Source organism: Homo sapiens, chromosome 1, assembly GCF_000001405.40.
Source record: "Homo sapiens chromosome 1, GRCh38.p14 Primary Assembly".
NCBI lineage: Eukaryota > Metazoa > Chordata > Mammalia > Primates > Hominidae > Homo > Homo sapiens.
The window spans coordinates 16,438,649-16,460,947 of NC_000001.11; the positions used below are offsets into that span (position 1 = coordinate 16,438,649).

Below are 22,299 nucleotides of genomic sequence, written 5' to 3' on the forward strand. Positions count from 1 at the left end.
AACAGAGTGAGATGCTGTTTCAAACAAAACAAAACAAAACAAAACCACTAAACATAGCATTATTGTATAACTCAGCAGTTTCACTCCTATGTATACACTCAAGAAAATGGAAAACAGGACTAGAACAAGTGTTTGAACACCAATGCTCATAGTAGCCCGATTCCCAATACCAAAAGGTGATAACATCCCAATTGTTGACAGATGAATGGATAAACAAAATATGGTATATACATGCAATGGAATATTATCCCTCCATTAAAAGGAATGAAATTCTGATCCATGCTACATGAAAGAACCTTGAAAACTTGATGCTAAGTGAAATAAGAAACACAAAAGCCCAATATTGTATGATTCCACTTATAAGAGGTATCTAGAAAAGGCAAATTCATAGAGACAGAAAGTAAAACAGAGGTTACTAAGGGATGGAGCAGAAGGAAATGGGAAGTTATTGCTAATGGGTGTGGAGTTTCTGTTTGGGATGATGAAAAGTTCTGGAAAGCATGATATAGTTGCACAATATTGTGAATGTACTTAATTTCACAGCATTGTACACTTAAAATGGTAAATTTTATGTTATGTATATTTTACAATAAAAATGTAAGTGGTTAGATCAATCCTATAATAAAAAGCTTATAAAAAATGAGTAGAAATGGCCAGTCGTGGTGGCTCACGCCTGTAATCCCAGCACTTGGGAGGCCGAAGTGGGCGGATCACTTGAGGTCAGGAGTTCAAGATCAGCTTGGCCAACCAGATGAAACCCCCGTCTCTACCAAAAAAATACAAAAACTAGCCAGGCTTGGTGGTGGGTGCCTGTAATCCCAGCTACTCGGGAGGCTGAGGCAGGAGAATCGCTTGAACCCGGGAGGTGGAGGTTGCAGTGAGCCGAGATTGCACCACTGCACTCCAGCCTGGGCGGCAGAGTGAGACTTTGTCTGAAGAAAAAAAAAAAAAAAAGTAAAAAGGAGAAGGAGAGTGAGAGAGAAAAGGAAAGAAGGGGTGGGGAAAGTTTGGGGTATTCAGTGAATCAGAAGTTTGGGATCAGCTTCACCCCCACATAGGGGCTGGCACATTGCAGGCACTCAACTCAATGAGAGAATGGTAGGGAAGGAGGGATTTTGAGAATTTGGCTAGGGTAGACATTGTATCTCCCAGAATATTCTGGGAGAAATCGAAGTTAAGACTGGAATTCTTCTTCTTCTTTTTTTTTTTTTTTGAGACAGAGTCCCGCTCTGTCACCCAGGCTGAGGTGCAGTGGCACAATTTCAGCTCACTGCAACTTCCGCATTCCGGGTTCAAGCGATTCTAGTGCCTCAGTCTCCCAACTAGCTAGGACTACAGACACACGCCACCAAGCCCGGCTAATTTTTGTATTTTTAGTAGAGACGGGGTTTCACCATGTTGGCCAGGCTGGTCTCGAACTCCTGACCTCAGGTGATCCGCCCGCCTCAGCCTCCCAAAGTGCTGGGATTACAGGCGTGAGCTACCAAGCCCGGCCTGGAATTCTTCTTAAATTACTTGTGTTACTAAACTTTACTTCTTTGAATACAACTCGTTGTTGAGGTTTGGCCACACGGGGCCCTGAGCATATAAGTGGGTTCCCCTAGGGGAAGCATGGAGGGTGGTAGGGTAATGGCATCTATTTAGTCTGGTGGGTCAGGTGCCAGCTGAGCCTTACAGTCAGGAGAGGGAAGGATATTCAGGCAGAGGAGGCGCCGAGGCAAAGGCTGGAGGACAGAGATACTGCAGGGTGGGCTACAGCTTTGCCTCTCGGTCAACTGGGCCCCAGGCCTAAGAAACTGAAGCGATGGGGATGATCCACACCCAGACCACGGGTTACAGAGGGGTCTGTCCATGGCGGGCGCAGGGCGCTTTCTTTGCGTCGGAGGGTGTCTGGAGGGAAGGAGAAGCCTCTGGAGGGAGGGAGAAGCCTCCGGAGGTCGCCCGCCACGTGTCTTGAGCCGGGTTTCCAGCAGAGGGCGCACAAACGAGGCGGTGCTGAGGCCCGCGAGCTGCCGCTCTAGCCGAAACCTGGTCAGAGAGTCGCACCGCTTCCGTCCGTCGGACAGAGGAACGGTGGAAGTCGCCGGAAGTTCGGTGGGCTCCAGGCGTCGCGATGGAGGAGAGCGGGTACGAGTCGGTGCTCTGTGTCAAGCCTGACGTCCACGTCTACCGCATCCCTCCGCGGGCTACCAACCGTGGCTACAGGTGACTACCCACCGCCAGACCAGGCTAGCTCCAATTTAACCCTTTCTCCGCCACCCGGACACACCCACTGCGGGAACCGAGGACAGCCCTGGCCAGTTTTGGGGCGAGGGGGAGCTAATGCTGCTGCTTCTTCCAGTTCCAGGCCCGAGCAGGGAGGTGGATCCAGAGTTTCGCCCGTCTCAGTTCGACGCACGGGACTCCTGGCGGCGGGGAGGGCGTTAAAGCCGTATCTAGCGCTTAGGGACCCCGGTGGGCTGCCGGGTACCCTAAACTTGGTCGGGGGTGGTGATGTCACAGACGCTTCTCTTTCAGCGCTAACCGGTGGCCTTGAAGGGATCCTCGAAAAGCCTTAAGCGGGGAGGTGCCCTATCACAGACGGAAATCCCCGAGAGGAGGGGAGGGAGCCCAGAGCCGGCTGAAAGGACCGGTCCCGGGGAGCTTTAAGGTGACGGTCGAAGCCCAGGGACCCCTTCCTACCCAGATCCCTTCGCACGAATTTCACCCTTGATCACAGCCTGGAGCAGTTGGGAGGACCCCTTCTATATTTCTCTGGTCTCTACCTGAGACGAATAAACACACACGCTTGTAAACATACTGAGTATCTCTGCAAAGGAACACAGGAAACTGCCCTAGGGGAGGGGAACCGCCCTTGGAAGGAAACTTCCTTTCCCTTTTGTGCTGTTTGCGTTTTACTACTCTTTGTATGCGTTATCTATCAAAACGACGAAAAATATTAAAAGAAAAAAGATACACTTCATACAGACAACCTGGCCTATGGCTATTTTGTGCCACTGAGTGGTGGTGGGGAGTGCTCGTATTTGCGGGGGCCTGGGTGGCTCTTGAAGGCGATGGTTGTCCAAGTTTTTCGGAAATACAGGATTGGTCTGCACCCCAAGAATGATGGAACGTCCACATTTCCTCTTGTTACTTTCCAGTTGTGTTACCGTGGGCTCATAGCTGATCTTATGGTGAAAAGATGCGTTAGTGAACATTACATTCATGACATATTTTAAAATAGTATAAAAACAAAAACAACAATAACCAAAATACATTTGTTTTCTGTCATCAAACTGTGGTTGGACCATCAAACCATTGATGGTCGTCTAGCCCCATCTCCTGTTGGGTCTTTTTTTTTTTTTTTTGAGACAGAGTTTCCCTCTTGTTGTCCAGGCTAGAGTGCAATGGTGCGATCTCGGCTCACTGCAACCTCCGCCTCCCGGATTCAAGCGATTCTCCTGCCTCAGCCTCCCGAGTAGCTGGGATTACAGCCATACACCACCACACCCGACTAATTTTGTGTTTTTAGTAGAGATGAGATTTCTCCATGTTGGTCAGGCTGGTCTCGAACTCCCTACCTCAGGTGGTCCACTCGCCTCGGCCTCCCAAAGTGCTGGGATTACAGGCAGGATCCACCGCGCCCGGCCCCCTATTGGGTCTTTAGTAGGATGGATTTGGTTCCTCTTGGTGCCCCAGAGAGCGAGGTTATGAATTGTCAGGGCTGGCTGGTTTAGCTTAGAGGAAACTACCAGTGCCTGCACTTAAGTCTTGGAGCTCTCCTTAGCCTGAATCTCAGGCCTGGTAAGAGGAACAGGAACTGAGTCTGCTGATTTGTGAATTGAGAATCTGCATTTGTGCAGCCCTCAAGACAGCCGCGTCCAGGGTTCTTGAGAACTGGCATAGGGACTTCTAAGAAAAGCCTCCTGGAAACACCTGCGGTTCTTGCTATTTGGGGATTTAACTGACCTTTTCTTAGAACTAAAATGTGAAGTTAATGCTTTAAAAGAGTCAAAACAGCTGGCTGTGGTGGCTCACGCCTGTAATCCCAACACTTTGGGAAGCCTCGGTGGAAGGATCCCTTGAGCCCAAGACTTCAGGACCAGCCTGGGCAACATAGACCCTATCTCTATAATTTTTTTTAATTGGCCTGGTGTGTTGGTACACACCTGTAGTCCCAGCTACTCAGGAGGCTGAGGTGGGAGGATCTCTTGAGCTCAGGAGGTTGAGGCTTCAGTGAGCCGTAGTTGCGCCACTGCACTTCAGCCCGGGTGACAGAGTGAGACCCCGTCTCAAACAAATTAGAGCCAAAAGAGGCATTGCTGTAGGTTCATGGTTTCCTGGGTTTCTTCCTAAGGACCCATTCACTTTTCTCACATGTACTGTTGTTCTCCTTTTCTCTTCTGGTGATTGTTCCATGCTGTCTTTTTCTTTCAAGATAGTCTCACTGGTCTCAAATGGTCGCTCTGACTGCTGCAGTCAAGCAGTGTCAGAAACAGAATCAGGCCCCTGCAGCTGCTGCTTCTATAGAAAGGAAACTGGAAGGAAGTCCTACGTGGAGGAGGACACTGTGGTCTAGAGAGGGGGTCACCAAGTGACAACCCAGTGTGTTTTTGTATGGTTCACACCTAAGAATAGTTTTTACATTTTTTAAATGGTTTGGAAAATTTTTAAAGGAGAGTATTTCATACTGGGAACATTACATGAATTTCAGATTTCAGTGTCTACACTTTGATTGAAATACAGCTGTGCTCAGTAGAAAATAGTTAAGATACCTAAAGCATCACCACGTGCATGTTCTATACTGATTTTACCCTACAGCAGCCGAGCTGCCTTGTTGTGACAGGCTGTGTGGCCTGTAGAGCCAAAGATATTTACTGTCTGACTCTTTACAGAAAATGTTTGCCAACTCTTGGGCTAGAATAAGCAGCCCTTTCCATTCCCAGCATTGGGGTCACACAGCAGGAGCCTCTGGCAGAGATTCAGTGGTGTTTGTCCCCTTAGGGCTGCGGAGTGGCAGCTGGACCAGCCATCATGGAGTGGCCGGCTGAGGATCACTGCAAAGGGACAGATGGCCTACATCAAGCTGGAGGACAGGACGTCAGGTAACCGGAAGGGAGGCTGCATCAAGCTGAGGGGCCGCACCCCACTTTATGAAGGGAGAGGTGGCCTGGTCTGGCCAGGCTGCTCAGGGGTCATGGGAACCTGTCCTGAAAAATCAGAGACGTGTGTGTACCTTTAAGCTGTACCATTCCCCCACCTTAGTTGTAGAAAGTACCGTCTCCAGGTGTAAAAATGAGTATTTCATGTCAAACACTAGTTCCTTTTAGGAGTCCTCAGGAAAATGTGGGGGCCAAGGAGAGGAGACCGCAGCTTGGTCCTGGTAGGAAGTAGGAAGCCCTGGAAGTGGCCTTGAAGACAGGCGGGTGAGGATGCACAGCCCTCTGCCGCTGGGCTCTGCTTCCTACTGAGGAATTGTTTATCAATGCAGCGGTAACTCCCAGAGCTGACCACACCCATTAACCGAAGAAGCTGGAAACTGTCCTACTCAGCTCTTTCTGTAGTGAGAGGACGAGCTGAGCTGGGTTGTGTTGGGGTCAGCTGGCAGAGATCGTCTTGGGGGAAACTTCACAAGTCCTGGGCCACCTGTGCCTCTGGGTGAGCTGTGGAGGGCAGTGCACCTGGAATCCCCCAGCCGAGACCCCTAGTGGGGTCGGACACAGTGTCTGCTCAGTCAGGTGCCACAACATTCGGTCATTTATTTTTTCTAATATGTAGAGATTTTCCTTTGTAGAGCAGAAGAGAAAGTGCAAAAGTTTAGAGAGAGAACTGGCTGCCTCTTCTCAGAACTATGTTCTGCCTGAGCTGCTGGATGTGGGGTGAGCCACATGACCTCTGGGGCCTTGGCCTCCTCCTTGTTGAAATGGGGATCATATTAGTTCCTCCTTCATAAGATTGTTGGAGAATAGGAAGTGAGCAGATATTTCTGTAATGCTTTACGGACTGCGAGGCAACCCAAAGCATTGATGTGTTCTTCGGGAACTTGGGTACTGGCGGCAGAGGAGTTTGGAGAGGCAGCTGCCATGGCCAGACCAGAGACTTTAAGCTGGAGAATTGCTGGGACACCCCAGGTAGTGTCATAAGAGAATGGTAACACCTCGTTCTCTGAGGAATTTGGTAACTGCGACTTTATTTTAAAAAATCATTTGTTTTTAGATGGAGTCTTGCTCTGTCACCCAGGCTGGAGTGCAGTGGCACGATCTCAGCTCACCACAACCTCTGCCTCACAGGTTCAAGCAATTCTCTGCCTCAGCCTCTCGGGTAGCTGGGATTACAGGCGCCCCCCCACCACGCCCAGCTAATTTTTTTTGTACTTTTAGTAGAGACGGGGTTTCACCATATTGGCCAGGCTGTTCTTGAACTCCTGACCTCGTGATCCGCCCACCTCGGCCTCCCAAAGTGTTGGGATTACAGGTGTGAGCCACTGTGCCCAGCCAGCTGTGACTTTAACATGACTCCCTAACGTAACAGGCACTGCCTAGGGCTGAGCCTCCCCTGTGGGACCCACCCCAAGGTGCTCTTAGCTCAAGGTCATGCCTGGGTCATGTTAGACTCTTACTTTCCCATGAGGTAATGAGCATATCACTCTAGGCCAGGCTTTCTCAGCTTCAGCACTGTTGACACCTGGGGCCAGATGAGTCTTTGTTTTGGAGAGCTGTGGAGCCCAGTGAGGACATTTCACAGCATTCTTGGCCTATGTCTAGCAGATGCCAGTAGCACCCCCCAAGTTGTGACAATCAAAATTATCTCTAGACATTGCCAGATGTCCTCTTGGGGACAGGGGAGCAAAATCACCCCTGATTGAGAACTACTGCTGTAGGCTGAAGGAATCTTGGTGAGGTTGGAACACAAGGCAGATAAATTGACAAGAAACCACAGACTCTAGGGCTGTTGGTTTTGAATCAGTTCAGCCTTGATTACAAAATTACCTCTTGCCTGGGCATGGTAGCTCATGCCTGTAATCCTAGCACTTTAGGAGGCCAAGACAGGTGGATCGCTTGAGCCCAGGAATTCCAGAGCAGCCTGGGCAATATGGCAAAACCCTGTCTCTAATAAAAATACAAAAATTAGCCAGGCGTGGTGGTGCACACCTGTGATCCCAGCTACTTGGGAGGCTGAGGCACAAGAATCACTTGAACCGAGGAGGTAGAGATTGCAGTGAGCCGAGATTGCGCCACTGCACTCCAGCCTGGGTGACAGAGCAAGACTGTCTCAAAAAGAAAAGAAAACAAAAAAAAGGCCGGGCACGGTGGCTCACCGCCTGTAATCCCAGCACTTTGGGAGGCCAGTGCAGGCAGATCACCTGAGGTCGGGAGTTTGAGACCAGCCTGACCAACACGGAGAAACCTTGCCTCTACTAAAAATACAAAATTAGCCGGGCGTGGTGGTGCATGCCTGTAAACCCGGCTATTCGGGAGGTTGAGGCAGGAGAATCGCTTGAACCTGGGAGGTGGAGGTCGCAGTGAGCCGAGATCGTGCCGTTGCACTTCAGCCTGGGCAACAAGAGTGAAACTCCGTCTTGGAAAAAACAAAAAACAAAGTTATCTCTAAACCACAGGATTCAGTAGAAGATATATGGTTAAATACTTAAAGCACCAGCCAGGTGTGGTGACTCACGCTTATAATCCCAGGGCTTTGGGAGGCCAAGGTGGGAGGATCACTTAAGACCAGGAGTTAGAGACCAGCCTGGGCAACATATCAAGACCCTATCTCTAACAAAAATTGAGTGGGCATGGTGGCATGTGCCTGTATTCCCAGCTACGTGAGAGGCTGAAGCGGGAAGATTACTTGAGCCCAGGAGTTCGAGGCTGCAGTGAGCTATGGTGCACTGCACACTGCACTTCAATCTGGGCAACAGAGCATGACCCTGTTTCTTTCTTTTTTTTTTTTCTTGTCATGTTGGCTGGAGTGGAGTGGCACAATCTCAGCTCACTGCAGCCTCCAACTCCTGGGGTCAGGGATCCTCCTGCCTCAGCCTCCCAGGGAGCTGGAACTAAATGTGCATGCCACCATGCCTGGCTTATTTTTGGATTTTTTGTAGAGACCAGGTTTCACCATCTTGCTCATGCTAGTCTCAAATTCCTGGGCTGGGCTGGGTGCAGTGGCTCACGCCTGTAATCCCAGCACTTTGGGAGGCTGAGGCAGGCAGATCACCTGAGGTCAGGCATTCAAGACCAGCCTGGCCAACATGGTGAAACACTGTCTCTACTAAAAATACAAAAATTAGTGGGGCGTGGTGGTGCATGCCTGTAATCCCAGCTACTTGGGAGGCTGAGGCAGGAGAATCACTTGAACCTGGGAGGCGGAGGTTGCAGTGAGCCGAGATTGCGCCGCTGCACTCCAGCCTGGGTGACAGAGGGAGACTCCATCTCAGGAAAAAAAAAAAAAAAAGGTATAAATCAAATTCCTGGGCTCAAGCAACGCACCCCACTTCAGCCTCCCAAAGTGCTGGGACCATACCCACTCCATGACCCTGTTTCTAAAAAACAAAACAAAAAATACTAAAAGCAACAACAGACGTCAGCACATGGGAAAAACTGATGCCAGTCATAAATGCTTGTGGAAATTTTATGTTGTGCCGCACTGTCGAGTGCTGTAGTTGACAAGGTGATGTGTTTCACAAGGGCTTTTAAAGCTAGTCACGCTTGCCCTGTCTCAGATTGAATTAAATCAGCCTGCTTCAGATTCCCTATGGGTATGAAAACTTCCTCCCTTCTTTCCTCGGGGCTCACTGGCCCCTCTTATAGTCCTGCCTCAGGTACTAGCCTCTTCAGCAGGTGTGATTACCTAGGCCAGGGTTCACCTGTTCTAGGACACTCAGGGTTCAGGTAATATAAGTGGGTAAAGCAGATGGAATGGATGGGCTAGCAGCTCCAACTTATTCTCAGGTGGGCTTGGAGGCTCAGCATTAATAAAGCTTAATTTTAAGAGAGGCCAGGCAGAATACCAAACTGTGAGCTAAATTTGACCTGTAAGCTCTCTGACTTAAGCCTTTCCTTGATTATATTTTCTGTGTCTTCCCTTTAGCAAGAATGGATTCGATTTGAATCCCACAGTAAGGTTTGCCGATCTGTCTCAGCTGGTTAGAGATGCCTTGCGGGCAAAAGGCCCAGTAGTGTGGTAGAAAACCTTGGCTGGAAGGGGGCTCAGGGCTCAGCGCTCAGCCTAACCTGTGCTTTCAGGGGAGCTCTTTGCTCAGGCCCCGGTGGATCAGTTTCCTGGCACAGCTGTGGAGAGTGTGACGGATTCCAGCAGGTACTTCGTGATCCGCATCGAAGATGGAAATGGTAGGCATGGGTCCTGGTGCTTCCTCCTCTTGGGAAAGGTTTTCTCTGCCTTTGGAAGGTGGGTTGATCATGTGTTGTTCCCCAGGGCGACGGGCGTTTATTGGAATTGGCTTCGGGGACCGAGGTGATGCCTTTGACTTCAATGTTGCATTGCAGGACCATTTCAAGTGAGTGGGTCTGGGAGACACACGCTCATGCCCCTCCCTTCTTTCCCTGGACAGAATGATCTCCCAGGTTAGGATACCCAAGTGTTTGTGTGTGATTTGTCTGGCAGCAGAGACTCAGGAGAACCCAGGACAAGCCACCTCTCTTCTCTGCCAATGTTCATCTCTGCTGTAAAGCCTTCTCTTTTACCTGAGGCTCATCTCTACCATCCCAGCCTTCGGGCCTGCCACCTGTCTCCCCTTACCAGTCCCCTGAGCAGCCAGAGTCCTCATCAGGCTCCTGTGGCCTTTCTGGGCCTGCTCCTCCATGTAATCAATGGCGCTTGGATTCCCAGGGCACCCAGCAGATGCCCTGATGTCCTTTTCTGAAGCTAAGAGACAGGGCAGGAAGTCCTCCTCCACCATCTGCAGGGCTCGAACTCAGGCTGCCAGTGAGTGGGCTGTGCCCGGCCACTCACATGGGCGCCTCTGGCTCTTCCCTTACCGGTGCTGCTGGGTGGTGTGGTATGGAGGGTGGGGGACTTTTGTGTTGCCCTCTACTTTTGGGTATCTGTCTTGTCCCCCCGTCTGCCTTCTGAGTGTTTGAGGGTGTGTAGAGACCGCATCTTAGTTCTCATGTCATATACTGTAGAGGGAAGGGCAGGCTCTCACGTGTCCTAGAGATAGTGTTAGGACCCTCTACGTAAGTGATCTCGCTGCATTCGTAGCCATCTTGAAAACCTATAGAATTGTGGGCATATTTTGCTGATGAGGAAACCAATGTGCATGCCGCTACTTAAGTGTCAGATTGGGATTTGAATTCAGGCCTCACTCCCAAGCCTGCACTCTTTCCAGCACCCCGTCTCACTACGAGGCTCAGCCTGGACTGATAGCAGGCAGTAGTGAAGTGAGCCAGTGATTGCAGGGCAGCTGGTCTCTTCCTTCCTCACCTTTTTCCTCATGTTCTCTCCCCAGGTGGGTGAAACAGCAGTGTGAATTTGCAAAACAAGCCCAGAACCCAGACCAAGGCCCTAAACTGGACCTGGGCTTCAAGGAGGGCCAGACCATCAAGCTCAACATCGCAGTGAGTTCTACCCTTGCTTGGCTGTGGTGACGTGATACTTGTGGCCACCCAGCCCCAGAGCCCATTGCTCTTCTTACAGTTCAGCTCCTTCAGTTCAGCAGATGTTTAGTGAGCATCTGCCTTGTGCCAGGTCCTGCATCGGGGTGAACAAGAGACCTCTGTTCTCATGGAGCTCAGAGTTGAGCTGAGACAGGCAGGTAAAAATGTGATAACAACATGGCAGGAAAGGTTCCATGACTAAGGGATGCCCTGGGTGCCGTGGGCTCCTAGAGGAAGGGTGTGCAGCCCATAGTTGTGGGAACCAAGGAAGGCTTCCTGGAAGAAGGGACCTGTAGGCAAGGGAAGAGTGATCAAAGAGTGGTTCACACAGAGGAACAGCAGGTGCAAAGCCTCTGAACTGAGAAGGAGCATCAGTCATTTGCTGCCAGAGGTGGTGTTTCTGTCCTAGCTATTAGAGTGCATCAGGAGGGACCTGTGTGCTCATCCCAGGCTGTGTCTTGAATAAGGAAGATTTGGGAGAGTTCTGGCAGGAGGGCGTTGAGGTGGGCGCTGGGAGTCCTGGGCAGCTTGTGCTGATGGTGTTGTCCTGGCTCCTGTGTCTTCGTTCTGAGCTGCTCTGCCTCTGGCTTCCCTCCCGTCAGCTCCTGTTCATAGGAACAGGTTGGGCTGGGCTGGGCTGGGCTGGGTTGCCTAAAGTTGGCCTTTACCTGGCTGCAAGGGTGGAGAGGGGAGATGAGGTCAGAGTCATGATTGCGGGGACCCAAGGACCAAGTGGATTGGTTTTTGTTTTTGCTAGGAATACTGTGTTGAGATGGATTTGTTTTTTCAAGAAGCTTTGTAACTCTAAAATAATGCTTTTCCTCTTTACTTACTCTTTCTCCTCTTTTCTGCTTCGTGCTGGTGATGATTTGGGATCCTTGAAGTTGGCCAGCTGGCCCTTAAGAGAGAAATGCAAGTCCAATCCAGTGGACTGGTTGGGATGTGATTCTTTCTCTCGCTTGGAGGAAACTAACATTTAATGAGCATCAGCTGAGGGCCAGGTAGTGGTTTTTTTTTGTTTTGTTTTGTTTTTTGTTTTGTTTTGTTGTTTTTTTTTTTTAGGCATTTCTCATGTGAATTAAACATCCTCTCCCTTTCCTCCATGAGATGAGGAAATGGAGGCTTAGGGAGGGTTGGGGACTTGCCCAGGGTCACAGAGCTAGAAATAACTGGCACAGCTGTGCTCACACTGAGGTCTTTGAGGTCTTTTGACTTCAGGGCTGGACTTACGATTTTATTAAGCTGCTGCTTTCCTTACAAGTAGGGAACACATTATCTTCATCTGTGTAACTTGTGCTGCTTTCTGGCTCATGCTTGGTGCTCAGTTTTTTTTTTAAAGCATTTTCTTGAAGTATAATGTGCATGTAAAAAAGTGTACAAATCATAAATGCAGAACTCTGTGAAATTTAAAAAATCTAATCTATAGGCTGGGAGTGGTGGCTCACGCCTGTAATCCCAGCACTTTGGGAGGCTGAGGTGGGCGGATCACCTGAGGTCGGGAGTCCGAGACCAGCCTGACCAACATGGACAAACCCTGTCTCTACTAAAAATACAAAATTAGCCGGGCATGGTGGTCCATGGCTGTAATCCCAGCTACTCCGGGGGCTGAGGCAGGAGAATTGGCTTGAACCTGGGAGGTGGAGGTTGCAGTGAGCTGAGATCGAGCCATTCATTGCACTCCAGCCTGGACAACAAGAGCGAAACTCTGGCTCAAAAAACAAAACAAAACAAAACACCCAATTTATAAACTTGCACCTTGCTCAAGATGCAAAAGATTGTCAGCACTCTGGAAACACCTCTCCTGGCCCCTCCCAGTAACTGCCCTGAGTAACCCCATCCTGACTTCACATACCCTAGATTTTGTTTGTTCTTAACTTTCATGAATTGAATCATACACCTAATCTTGATTTGGAATGATTTCTTTCTTTTACTCAATGTAATTTTTGTGAGAGTCATCCATGGTGTTGCGTGTAGTTTGTTCATTCTCATTGTTGTGGCATGTACCATTGTGAGAATTCACCCGATTTATTTATGTTTTACTGATGATGGACATTTGGGTAGTTTCCAGTTTGGGGCGATTACAAATAATGCTGCTGTAGATGTTTGAGTTCATGTTTTTGGTGCATATATGTATGATTTCTGTTGGTTTATATCTAGGAGTGGAACTGCGGAGTCATAAGTTTAAGTTCCTATGTTGAGCTTTATAATCCTTTCAAATAATTTTTCAAAGTAGTTTTACCAGTTTACACTTAAGCCAGCAGCGCGTGAATGGTTACTTCATATCGTAGTCAATACTTGATAATCTACATTTTAGCCATTCTGGTGAGCGTGTAATGGTATATCATTATAGCTTTGATCTGCATTTCCCTGATGAATGAAGTGGGGGTGCTGGGTTTTAAAATGGACCTTATTTGTGAGAGATTCAGAATGATGATGCACTAAGTATAGCTCATAGCAATGGAGGTGCTAGGTAGGACCATCTTTTGGTTACACAGATGTTGGGGGTCTGGGGTCACCTTGGCCCTCCTTGTGGGGTTTTCTGGTAGCATTGGGACTCCAGCAGAACGGGCTGATTTGCATTCCTCTTCCCTCTTTAGAACATGAAGAAGAAGGAAGGAGCAGCTGGGAATCCCCGAGTCCGGCCTGCCAGCACAGGAGGGCTGAGCCTGCTTCCCCCTCCCCCAGGGGGGAAAACCTCCACCCTGATCCCTCCCCCTGGGGAGCAGTTGGCTGTGGGGGGATCCCTCGTCCAGCCAGCAGTTGCTCCCAGTTCAGGTTAGTGCTCAGTGGGTGACTGCTGCATCAGTACCTGCCGGCTCCTCTTCTCCCTGGCAGCCAGGCCCCATGGTTTCCCCCCCGTTACACACATGGATTGGTCATGTAGTACCTGTCCGTGTCAAAGAAGGCGGGCACCCAAAGCTCATTCTGCACACGCTGGGTAAGGGGCTCCTCCTACTTGGCCTTTAGGGCGTCTGCCCTCCCCTGAGAGGCCAGGGCTGCGACTTGTTAGTTACTGTGAAATCATCAACATGTCGGTTCCTGGTTCCCAGTGTCTGCTCAGTGGGTATTGAGTGAGTGGGTAATGGAGACACAGTCTCTGCTCACGTGTAGTGAGAGAGATGAGTCACAGCACAGAGACCAAATGTGTAGGGCCTAGACCCACCATCAGCTGCTGTGATCTGGAGAGGTTTCATGAAAGAGGTGACATTGATCTGGACCTTGAAGGAAGGAGATAGAGTGGGAGTGGTTGGCATTCCAGGCAGAGAGAAGAACACGAATGAGGCCCAGACTTTTAGACACCTGGTGTATTTAGGGAGATGGGTACAGCATAAGGTGTGCCAAGGTGAGTGGTGGGAAATGAGATTTCGTTTGGAGTGAGCACCTCGGGTGTGGGAATCTGAGAGCATTTGCCCTGGCAGTTTGTGCTGAGGAGCCCTTAGGAGACCCTGGGATTCCGGAAGCGAGTGTCTAGTGTCAGCTTCTGACCACGCTGGGGTGCCAGCCCTTTTCCTCTACCTCCCCGCGCGCCCCCCCCGCCCGCCGCCCCGCCCAGCCCAGCTTGATGCTCCTGGCCTTCCCCAGGCTGGGCGATTGTCACCAGCGTGCCTTCTGCACACAGCTCTCCCCAGCTTGCAGGCAGGAAGCCTTCCTGCTTTACTGATTCCTAAGCCTCCCCAACATTGGCTGCCCTATCTGGAGGTCAAGCTTCAGACTTCAGTCCTGTGGGGAGAGTGGCAGGAGGGGCAGTCAGAGAGCCCCGGCCCGGTACCAGGAACTGTTCTTTAAGTGCTATTTCTCAGAGTGGGGTCATAGGACCACTTGCTTTGGCATCGCTGGGGGATGGGGGCAAGAATCTGCATTCTTGTGTCTTTTTTTTTTTTTTGAAATGGAGTTTTTTTGCTCTTGTTGCCTAGGCTGCAGTGTAATGGTGTGATCTCGGCTCACTGCAACCTCTGCCTCCTGGGTTCAAGTGATTCTCCTGCCTCAGCCTCCTGAGTAGCTGGGATTACAGGCATGTGCCTCCACACCCAGCTAATTTTGTAATTTTAGTAGAGACAGGGTTTCTCCATGTTGGTCAGGCTGGTCTTGAACTCCCAACCTCAGGTGATCCGCCCGCCTCAGCCTCCCAAAGTGCTAGGACTACAGGCGTGAGCTACTGCACCCGGCCCTTATGTTTGTTCTTGTTTGTGTGTTGACTAAAGTCTGAGAGCTACTACCTTAGGCCTTCCTAAGCAACCAAGGTTGCTGATGGATATTTATTTATTTAAGATGGAGTCTTGCTCTGTCACCCAGGCTGGAGAGCAGTGGCATGTTCTCGGCTCACCGCAACCTCCACCTCCTGGGTTCAAGTGATTCTTCTGCTTCAGCCTCCTGAGTAGCTGAGATTACAGGCACGCACCACCACGCCCAGCTAAGTTTTGTATTTTTAGTAGAGACAGGGTTTCACTGTGTTGGCCAGGATGGTCTCGATCTCCTGACCTCGTGATCTGCCCGCCTCAGCCTCCCAAAGTGCTGGGATTACAGGCATGAGCCACCGTGCCTGGCCTTGCTGATGCATTTTTAACAGCATTTTAATTTTAATATGGTGCACTTGCTGTGTGCCAGGTAGAGTTCTAGGCACTGGTACGTATAGCATCCAGTTTCAGCTCTCAAGGGCTTGTTTTCTGGTGTCTGAGACAGGCAGTTAGCATGTCAACAAACAAAATGGTGTCAGATAATAAGTCATGAATATCAACATTTATGAAGCACTTACTATATGAACAATATGGTTGGGTTCAAATTTCAGCTTACTAGCTTTGTGATATTTATTTATTTATTTTTATTTTTTATTTTTGAGATGGAGTTTTTTGCTCTTGTTGCCCAGGCTGGAGTGTGATGGCGCAATCTCGGCTTACCACAACCTCTGCTTCCTGGGTTCAAGCGACTCTCCTGCCTCAGCCTCCCAAGTAGCTGGGATTACAGGCATGCGCCACCTCACGTGGCTAATTTTGTATTTTTAGTGGAGACGGGGTTTCTCCATGTTGGTCAGGCTGGTCTTGAACTCCTGACCTCAGGTGATCCTCCCGCCTTGACCTCCCAAAGTGCTGGGATTACAGGCATGAGCCACCGCACCTCGCCTACTTATTTATTTTTAAGAAGGAGTCTCACTCTGTTGCCCAGGCTGGAGTGCAGTGGCATGATCTCAGCTTACTGCAACCTCCGCTTCCTGGGTTCAAGCAATTCTCCTGCCTCAGCCTCCCAAGTAGCTGGCATTACAGGCATGCACCACCATACCTGGCTAATTTTTGTAATTTTAGTAGAGACAGAGGTTTCACCACGTTGGCCAGGCTGGTCTCGAACTCCTGACCTCAGGTGATCCACCTGCTTCAGCCACCCAAAGTGCTGGGATTACAGGCTGAGCCACTGTGCCCAGCCCAGTTTTGTGATCTTTAGAAAATCACTTCTCCATGCCTCATTTTTCTCATCTGTAGGATAGGGGAAGTAATGATACTTAAAATATAAGTTTCTTGTGAGGATCAAATAAGCTGATTTATGTATAGCACTTAGAACAATTTTTGGAACATTCTAAGTGCTCACTGAATGTTAGATCTCATTTTATTAATATCGTTATTGCCACTATATGCTGGACCTGTTCTAAGCATTCTGTGGATATTTAATCTTCACACCAGTCCTATGGAGTAGTTCCTGTTATTTTCAGCATTTTAGAGGTAAGAGAATGGAAACTGAAATGACCTGCACAGTCACGTGGCTCATCCCAATCTGTCTTTCCCTAGGGGCTGGGGTGAGGTTCACAGAAGATAATGTGCCTTGAGCACTTGGTGAACTGTAAAACTCTAAACCATTGAGGGCCCTAGTTTTATCTGTTCTCCTGGCCCAGAGCAGATTAGAAATAGCAACTTAGTGCCAAGGTGGAGGGTGGCAAACACAGGCCCTTCAGAAGGGCAGTTGGCAGCACTGGGGGAGGTGCCTGAAAAGCACAAAAGCAGGCATTGCAGCCCCATGGCGTCGCCTACCTTGGTGGAGAGATAGGATTGAGCTTCTGTGTGAGCTCTTTGGAATGCTCTTCCTGACCCCTAACCAGTTTGGGGCCTGGGACTTGGCACGTGGCTGGCACGTAGTGTTCTCAGCCAGTTCATCCAGACATGGTAGTGCAGGCTTGATATGAAGATGATCTTGCGGTTTTGGTGGACATTCTCCGTTCAAGAAGCTAAGACGGGTTATAGTAAATTTTAAATAGATTTCAACATAAATGGTTGATAACAAAGTCAGCTTCAGGTATGCATGTTAGATGACGTGAGACTAACCACCCATCCCGCGGGCACCCCTCGTTCCACCTTGTATGTGGCTTTCTGCGTTTTCTCCAGAGCGCACAAGGGCTGGTGAGAAGATGCTGGAAGTGTGGCAACTCAGGGTGTTTGGTTGCCCAAAAGCATGTCTGGTGTGGCTTTCCCAGCTACCTGGTGTCATGAGACTGATCACTGAGTCTCATGATTTGGTCATTGAAACAACCAGAAAGGTCTCTGACTTCTCTGTCCCCTCTTCTCTTCCTACGGGTCGGACTCGGGAACATCAATAGGAGGTGCTCCTGTACCCTGGCCACAGCCCAATCCTGCCACTGCTGACATCTGGGGAGACTTTACCAAATCTACAGGGTAAGGAGGGCCATGTTCTGCGGAGGGGCTGGGGCCAGGGCCGTTGCTCTACAAACCTGGTATTGTTCCACATGCCTGCCTTCTGGTGTTAGGATTAGGAGTAACAGTTTTAATTTGGATGTTTTCTTTTCTTTTTTTTTTTTTTTTGAGAGGGAGTTTTGCTCTTGTTGCCCAGGCTGGAGTGCAATGGCATGATCTTGGCTCGCTGCAACCTCTGCCTCCCAGGTTCAAGCTATTCTCCTGCCTCAGCCTCCTGAGTAGCTGGGATTACAGGCACCTGCCACCACGCCTGGCTAATTTTTTATATTTTTAGTAGAGATGGGGTTTTACCATGTTCGTCAGGGTTGTCTTGAACTCCTGACCTCAGGCGATCCACCTGCCTCGTCCTCCCAAAGTACTGGGATTACAGGCATGAGCCACCGCGCCTGGCCTGATTTGGATGTTTTCAAGCTAGCCAGAGGACAGAGCCCCAGCGTGCCTGCTTTGGGTGGCACACGTCTTTCCGTGGAGGTTTTGCTGCTTTCCAGTGCTATATAGCCTGGGGCAACCCTTTGCAAATCTGGGCCTTTAAACCGCCTTCCCAAGTGCTTTGGCTTGTCCCCAGTACCTCCTTCTTCTATACCCCATCCCCCACCTTCCCCAAAATAGTGGACTGAGAGTTCAGACCCAGGCTCCAGCCTCAGCCCATCCTCATAGAACGCCTGAGGCTAGGTGGCTTGTCTTCTCTGATTCCATAAGATCTCAAGACTTTACTTGGGGCCAGGGTGAAAAGATACTAAATTCCTACTGCACTATTATTTACATGGACAGATTCTAGGACAGGGGTCAGCACACATTTTCTTTTTCTTTTCATGTTTTGAGACAGGGTCTCTCTCTGTCACCCAGGCTGGAGTGCAGTGGCACTATCACGGCTTACTGCAACCACATTCTCCCATGTTGCTGGCTCTACAGGTGCACATCACCATGCCAGCTATTTTTTGTATTTTTTCATAGATACGGGGTTTTGCCATGTTGCGCAGGCTGGCCTTGAACTCCTGGGCTCAAGCGATCTGCCTGCCTCGGCCTCCCAGAGTGCTGGGATTATAGGCACGAGCCAGTGTGCCCAGCCACATTTTCTGTAAAGGACTAGATAGCAAATAGTTTAGACTATTCAGGCCGTGTGGTCTTCGTTCTAGCTACTCAGTTCTGCTCTTGTTGCACAAAAGCAGCCACAGACAATATGTAAATAAATCAGCATGGCTGTGTGCCAGTAAAATTTTATTTACAAAAATAGAGGCATGGGCTGGGCGCGGTGGCTCATGCCTGTAATCCCAGCACTTTGGGATTCCCAGGCAGGCGGATCACCTGAGGTCAGGAGTTCAAGACCAGCCTGGCCAACATGGTCAAACCCCATCTCTACTAAATACACAAAAATTAGTTGGGCGTGGTGGGGTGGTGCCTGTAATCCCAGCTACTTGGGAGGCTGAGGCACGAGAATTGCTTGAACCCGGGAGATTGCAGTCAGCTGACATCATGCCACTCTAGTCCAGCCTGGGTCACAAGAGCAAGACTCCATCTCAAAAAACAAATAAACAAACAAAAAAAACAGAGGCGTGAAATGAGGACTGTAACCCTTTTCCTGTTTGCCCTGAGAAAACTTGCCAGTGGCACTTCAGACTGCAGCGTTGACCCTGAGATAACTTTGCCACAAAATGTATTGCTTTTATATTATTTTTGCATCGCTCTAGTATATCAGCTTTGGAACAAAAGACATTCTATTTATAGCATTCTGTTTTTAATAGTGGTATTTCCATTTACAAAATATAGTAATTCTGTTTTTTTTTTTTTTTTTTTTTTGAGACAAGGTTTCACTCTGGTTGCCTAGGCTGGAGTGCAGTGGCGTGATGTCGGCTCACTGCATCCTTGACCTTCCAGGCTCAGGTGATTATCCCTTAGCCTCCTGAGTAGCTGGGACTACAGGCAATTGCCACCACACCCGGCTAATTTTTTGTATTTTTAGTAGAGGCGGGGTTTTGCTATGTTGCCCAGGCTGGTCTGGAACTCCTGGAATCCAGCAGTCCGCCTACCTCAGCCTCCCAGAGTGCTGGGATTACAGGCGTGAACTACCATGCCTGGCCCAAAATATAGTAATTATTGATTACTGAAAAAGTCAAATCCTAGAAAACGCAGCATTCTTACATGTGATGTTAACATCGTTCTTGAACAGTTTTTAGCCTAAGATTCATTTGAGGAGTCTGATTTTTCCAAAATAGTTCTGATTATTCAGATGATTCTGAAATAACTCCAAGAACAGTTTTTATATTTTATTTTCACGTTGAAAATCAGTCAGATTTGCTTCAGCCTCAAAGAGCATGTTTATGTAAAATTAAATGAGGGCTGGCAGTGAGCTATATTTTTTCTACATGGGAAAGGGGTTAAGACTCTTCGGCCAGGCATGTTGGCTCACGCCTGTAATCCCAGCACTTTGGGAGGCCAAAGCAGGCAGATCACTTGAGGCCAGGAGTTCGAGACCAGCCTGGGCAACATGGCAAAACCCTGTGTCTACTAAAAGAAATACAAAAATTAACCGGTCATGTAGTTCCAGCTACTAGGGAGGCTGAGGTAGGAGGATCGCTTGAGCTCAAGAGGTTGAGGCTATAGTTGGCCTTGAGTGTGCCACTGCATTCCAGCCTGGGCGACAGTGAGACCCTGTCTCAAAAAAAAAACAAAACAAAAAACAAAACCACAAACAAAAAACTTTGGTAAATACAGTTACATTAACTATTTAAAAAAAAAAAACCATCGAGGGCCAGATTTGGTCTCTGTGCCAGAGTTTGCTGACTGCTGCTCTAGAACATTTAGGAACTGGCTTCTTAGAGCTTTTTCTGTCCAGAGAGAAACCAACTTTTATCTGCTTTGTATTTTCAAAGATCTGAACTCCCCCACCCTTCCCTGTCTTCTCTTTACAGATCAACTTCCAGCCAGACCCAGCCAGGCACAGGCTGGGTCCAGTTCTGACCTGAGCACGGTTTTTCCTCATGTGACTTCTGGGAAGGCGCTCCCTCATCTGGGCCAAAGGAAGGAGGACGAAGCCCTCCTCAGCTGGCCTGTGTTTGGGGCATGAATCTCTCCTCTCCTCCTTGTCTGGCTCTGTTGACAAACCGGGCATGTTTGGCAGTAAATTGGCACCGTGTCACACTGTTTCCTGGGATTCAAGTATGCAACCAGAACACAGGAGAAGAAAAGCTCCAGGATCCCTGTCCCCATCTGTCCTCTTGATGTGAGAGAGACTCTGAGACTTCTTCCATCGCAATGACCTGTATTAAACACAAGCCCCCCAAGCAAAAGAAGAGGTTGAGTTTGCTGCCAGGATTCAGATCAGCCCTTCCCAGGGTCTGCAGGTGTCACATGATCACAGTTCAGCGGGAGGCTTTCCGTACCCACACTGGCTGTAGCCACTTCAGTCCATCTGCCCTCCAGAGGAGGGGTTTCTTCCTGATTTTTAGCAGGTTTAGAGGCTGCAGCTTGAGCTACAATCAGGAGGGAAATTGGAAGGATTAGCAGCTTTTAAAAATGTTTAAATATTTTGCTTTGCTAATGTGCTGATCCGCACTAACTCATCTTTGCAAAAGGAACTGCTCCCTCGGCGTGCCCCAGCTGGGGCCTCTGAAGGGATTCCTCACTGTGGGCAGCTGCCCTGAGCTTCAGGCAGCAGTGTTTATCTCTGGCCAGTTGTCTGGTTTCCATGTATTCTAGGCCAGGTAGGCAACACAGAGCCAAGGCGGGTGCTGGAAGCCAGACGGAACAGTGTTGGGGCAGGAAGGTGGATGCTGTTGTCATGGAGCTGTGGGAGTTGGCACTCTGTCTGCTGGTGGCCCTCTCGGCTCACATGTTCACAGTGCAGCTCCTGGCAGACTTGGGTTTTCTCTTTGGTGGTTTCTAAAGTGCCTTATCTGCAAACAACTTCTTTTCTCCTTCAGGAACTGTGAATGGCTAGAAGAAGGAGCTCAGTAAACTAGAAGTCCAGGGTTGCTTGGTTTACTGGTTTATAAGAAATCTGAAAGCACCTCTGACATTCCTTTTATTAACTCACCTCTCAGTTGAAAGATTTCTTCTTTGAAAGGTCAAGACCGTGAACTGAAAAAAGTGTTGGCCTTTTTGCGGGACCAGATTTTTAAGATAAAATAAATATTTTTACTTCTGTCATTGTATGTGAAAGATGAATGTGTTTCTGGCCGCGTGGCTGTTAAACTCTTCAGGGTGCCACAGCTAGACTCACGGCCACTTCTCTCACCACTGACCAAGTGTCCAGATTGAAAGTTCAGGGCTGGGGTGTGAGGCTGGCCAAAGTGAGGAAATGCAACCTTGTTGTCTAAGGCAATCGGTACCTTCTCTCCTGTGTTCTCTAGGATAGTACAGTCTTTTCATCATCCTTTGGTTGATGTGAAAGTAGTTGCTTGAATCACTTTGTGTGGGGCTTAATTCTCTTGTGGCGTCTCATGATACAGGCCGTTCTAGAGAGCCTGGCCCCTTGCTTTCCGTCTTCCACCAAACCTACCGGCAGAGCATCTCCCTAAGTAGTAAAGGGGTGCAGATACCCAGAGGTCAAAAGTAAAATTAAGAGGCCGGGTGCAGTGGCTCACGCCTGTAATCCCAGCACTTTGAGAGGCCAAGACGGGAGGATCATTTGAGGCTGGGAGTTTGGGACCAGCCTGGGCAACATAGTAAGATGCATTTCTTTCCTTTTTTTTGAGACACAGTCTCAGTCTGTTGCCCTGGCTGGAGTGCAGTGGAGCAATCTTGGTCACTACAACCTCCGCCTCCCAGGTTAAAGTGATTCTCCTACCTCAACCTTTCCAGTAGCTGAGATTACAGGCACCTACCACACCGAGCTAATTTTTGTATTTTTTCAGTAGAGATGGGGTTTCACCATGCTGGCCAGGCTGGTCTCAAACTCCTGACCTCAAGTTATCTGCCCGCCTTGGCCTCCCAAAGTGCTGGGATTATAGGCGTGAGCCACGGCACCCGGCTGTTAGACCCCATTTCTTAAAAAAAAAAAAAAAAAAAAAAATTAG

At 49.2% G+C, this 22,299-nt stretch overlaps 1 protein-coding gene across 5 annotated transcripts, besides 1 other annotated feature; it reads left to right on the forward strand.

Moving 5' to 3' along the window:
- Positions 2,076-21,430, forward strand: NECAP2 (NECAP endocytosis associated 2). Of its 5 annotated transcripts, none has more exons than NM_018090.5 (8): positions 2,076-2,205; positions 4,984-5,084; positions 9,222-9,326; positions 9,412-9,493; positions 10,445-10,553; positions 13,190-13,367; positions 17,170-17,245; positions 20,194-21,430. In NM_018090.5, the coding sequence occupies exons 1-8, from the start codon at positions 2,114-2,116 to the stop codon at positions 20,240-20,242; spliced, it is 792 nt and encodes a 263-aa protein (NP_060560.1). In that variant the 5' UTR covers positions 2,076-2,113; the 3' UTR covers positions 20,243-21,430. The 5 variants fall into 5 exon arrangements, with proteins under 5 accessions (NP_060560.1, NP_001138750.1, NP_001138749.1 ...); NM_001145278.2 differs by having other exon boundaries at positions 2,076-2,127; NM_001145277.2 differs by lacking the exon at positions 17,170-17,245.
- Positions 13,150-13,229: an enhancer, noted in NCBI's record as "active region_265". NCBI's record gives its function as "activates an Ori minimal core promoter by ATAC-STARR-seq in GM12878 lymphoblastoid cells {active_cell/tissue: GM12878}" and the evidence as "EXISTENCE:reporter gene assay evidence [ECO:0000049][PMID:35858748]".

Excerpts from the sequence above, each read along its gene's own strand:
- NECAP2 (NM_001145277.2), top strand. The coding sequence starts at position 2,114 with ATGGAGGAGAGCGGGTACGAGTCGGTGCTCTGTGTCAAGCCTGACGTC. Across the intron at positions 5,085-9,221 it reads GCTGGAGGACAGGACGTCAG|GGGAGCTCTTTGCTCAGGCC; the intron begins GTAACCGGAAGG and ends CTGTGCTTTCAG. Across the intron at positions 10,554-13,189 it reads CCATCAAGCTCAACATCGCA|AACATGAAGAAGAAGGAAGG; the intron begins GTGAGTTCTACC and ends TTCCCTCTTTAG.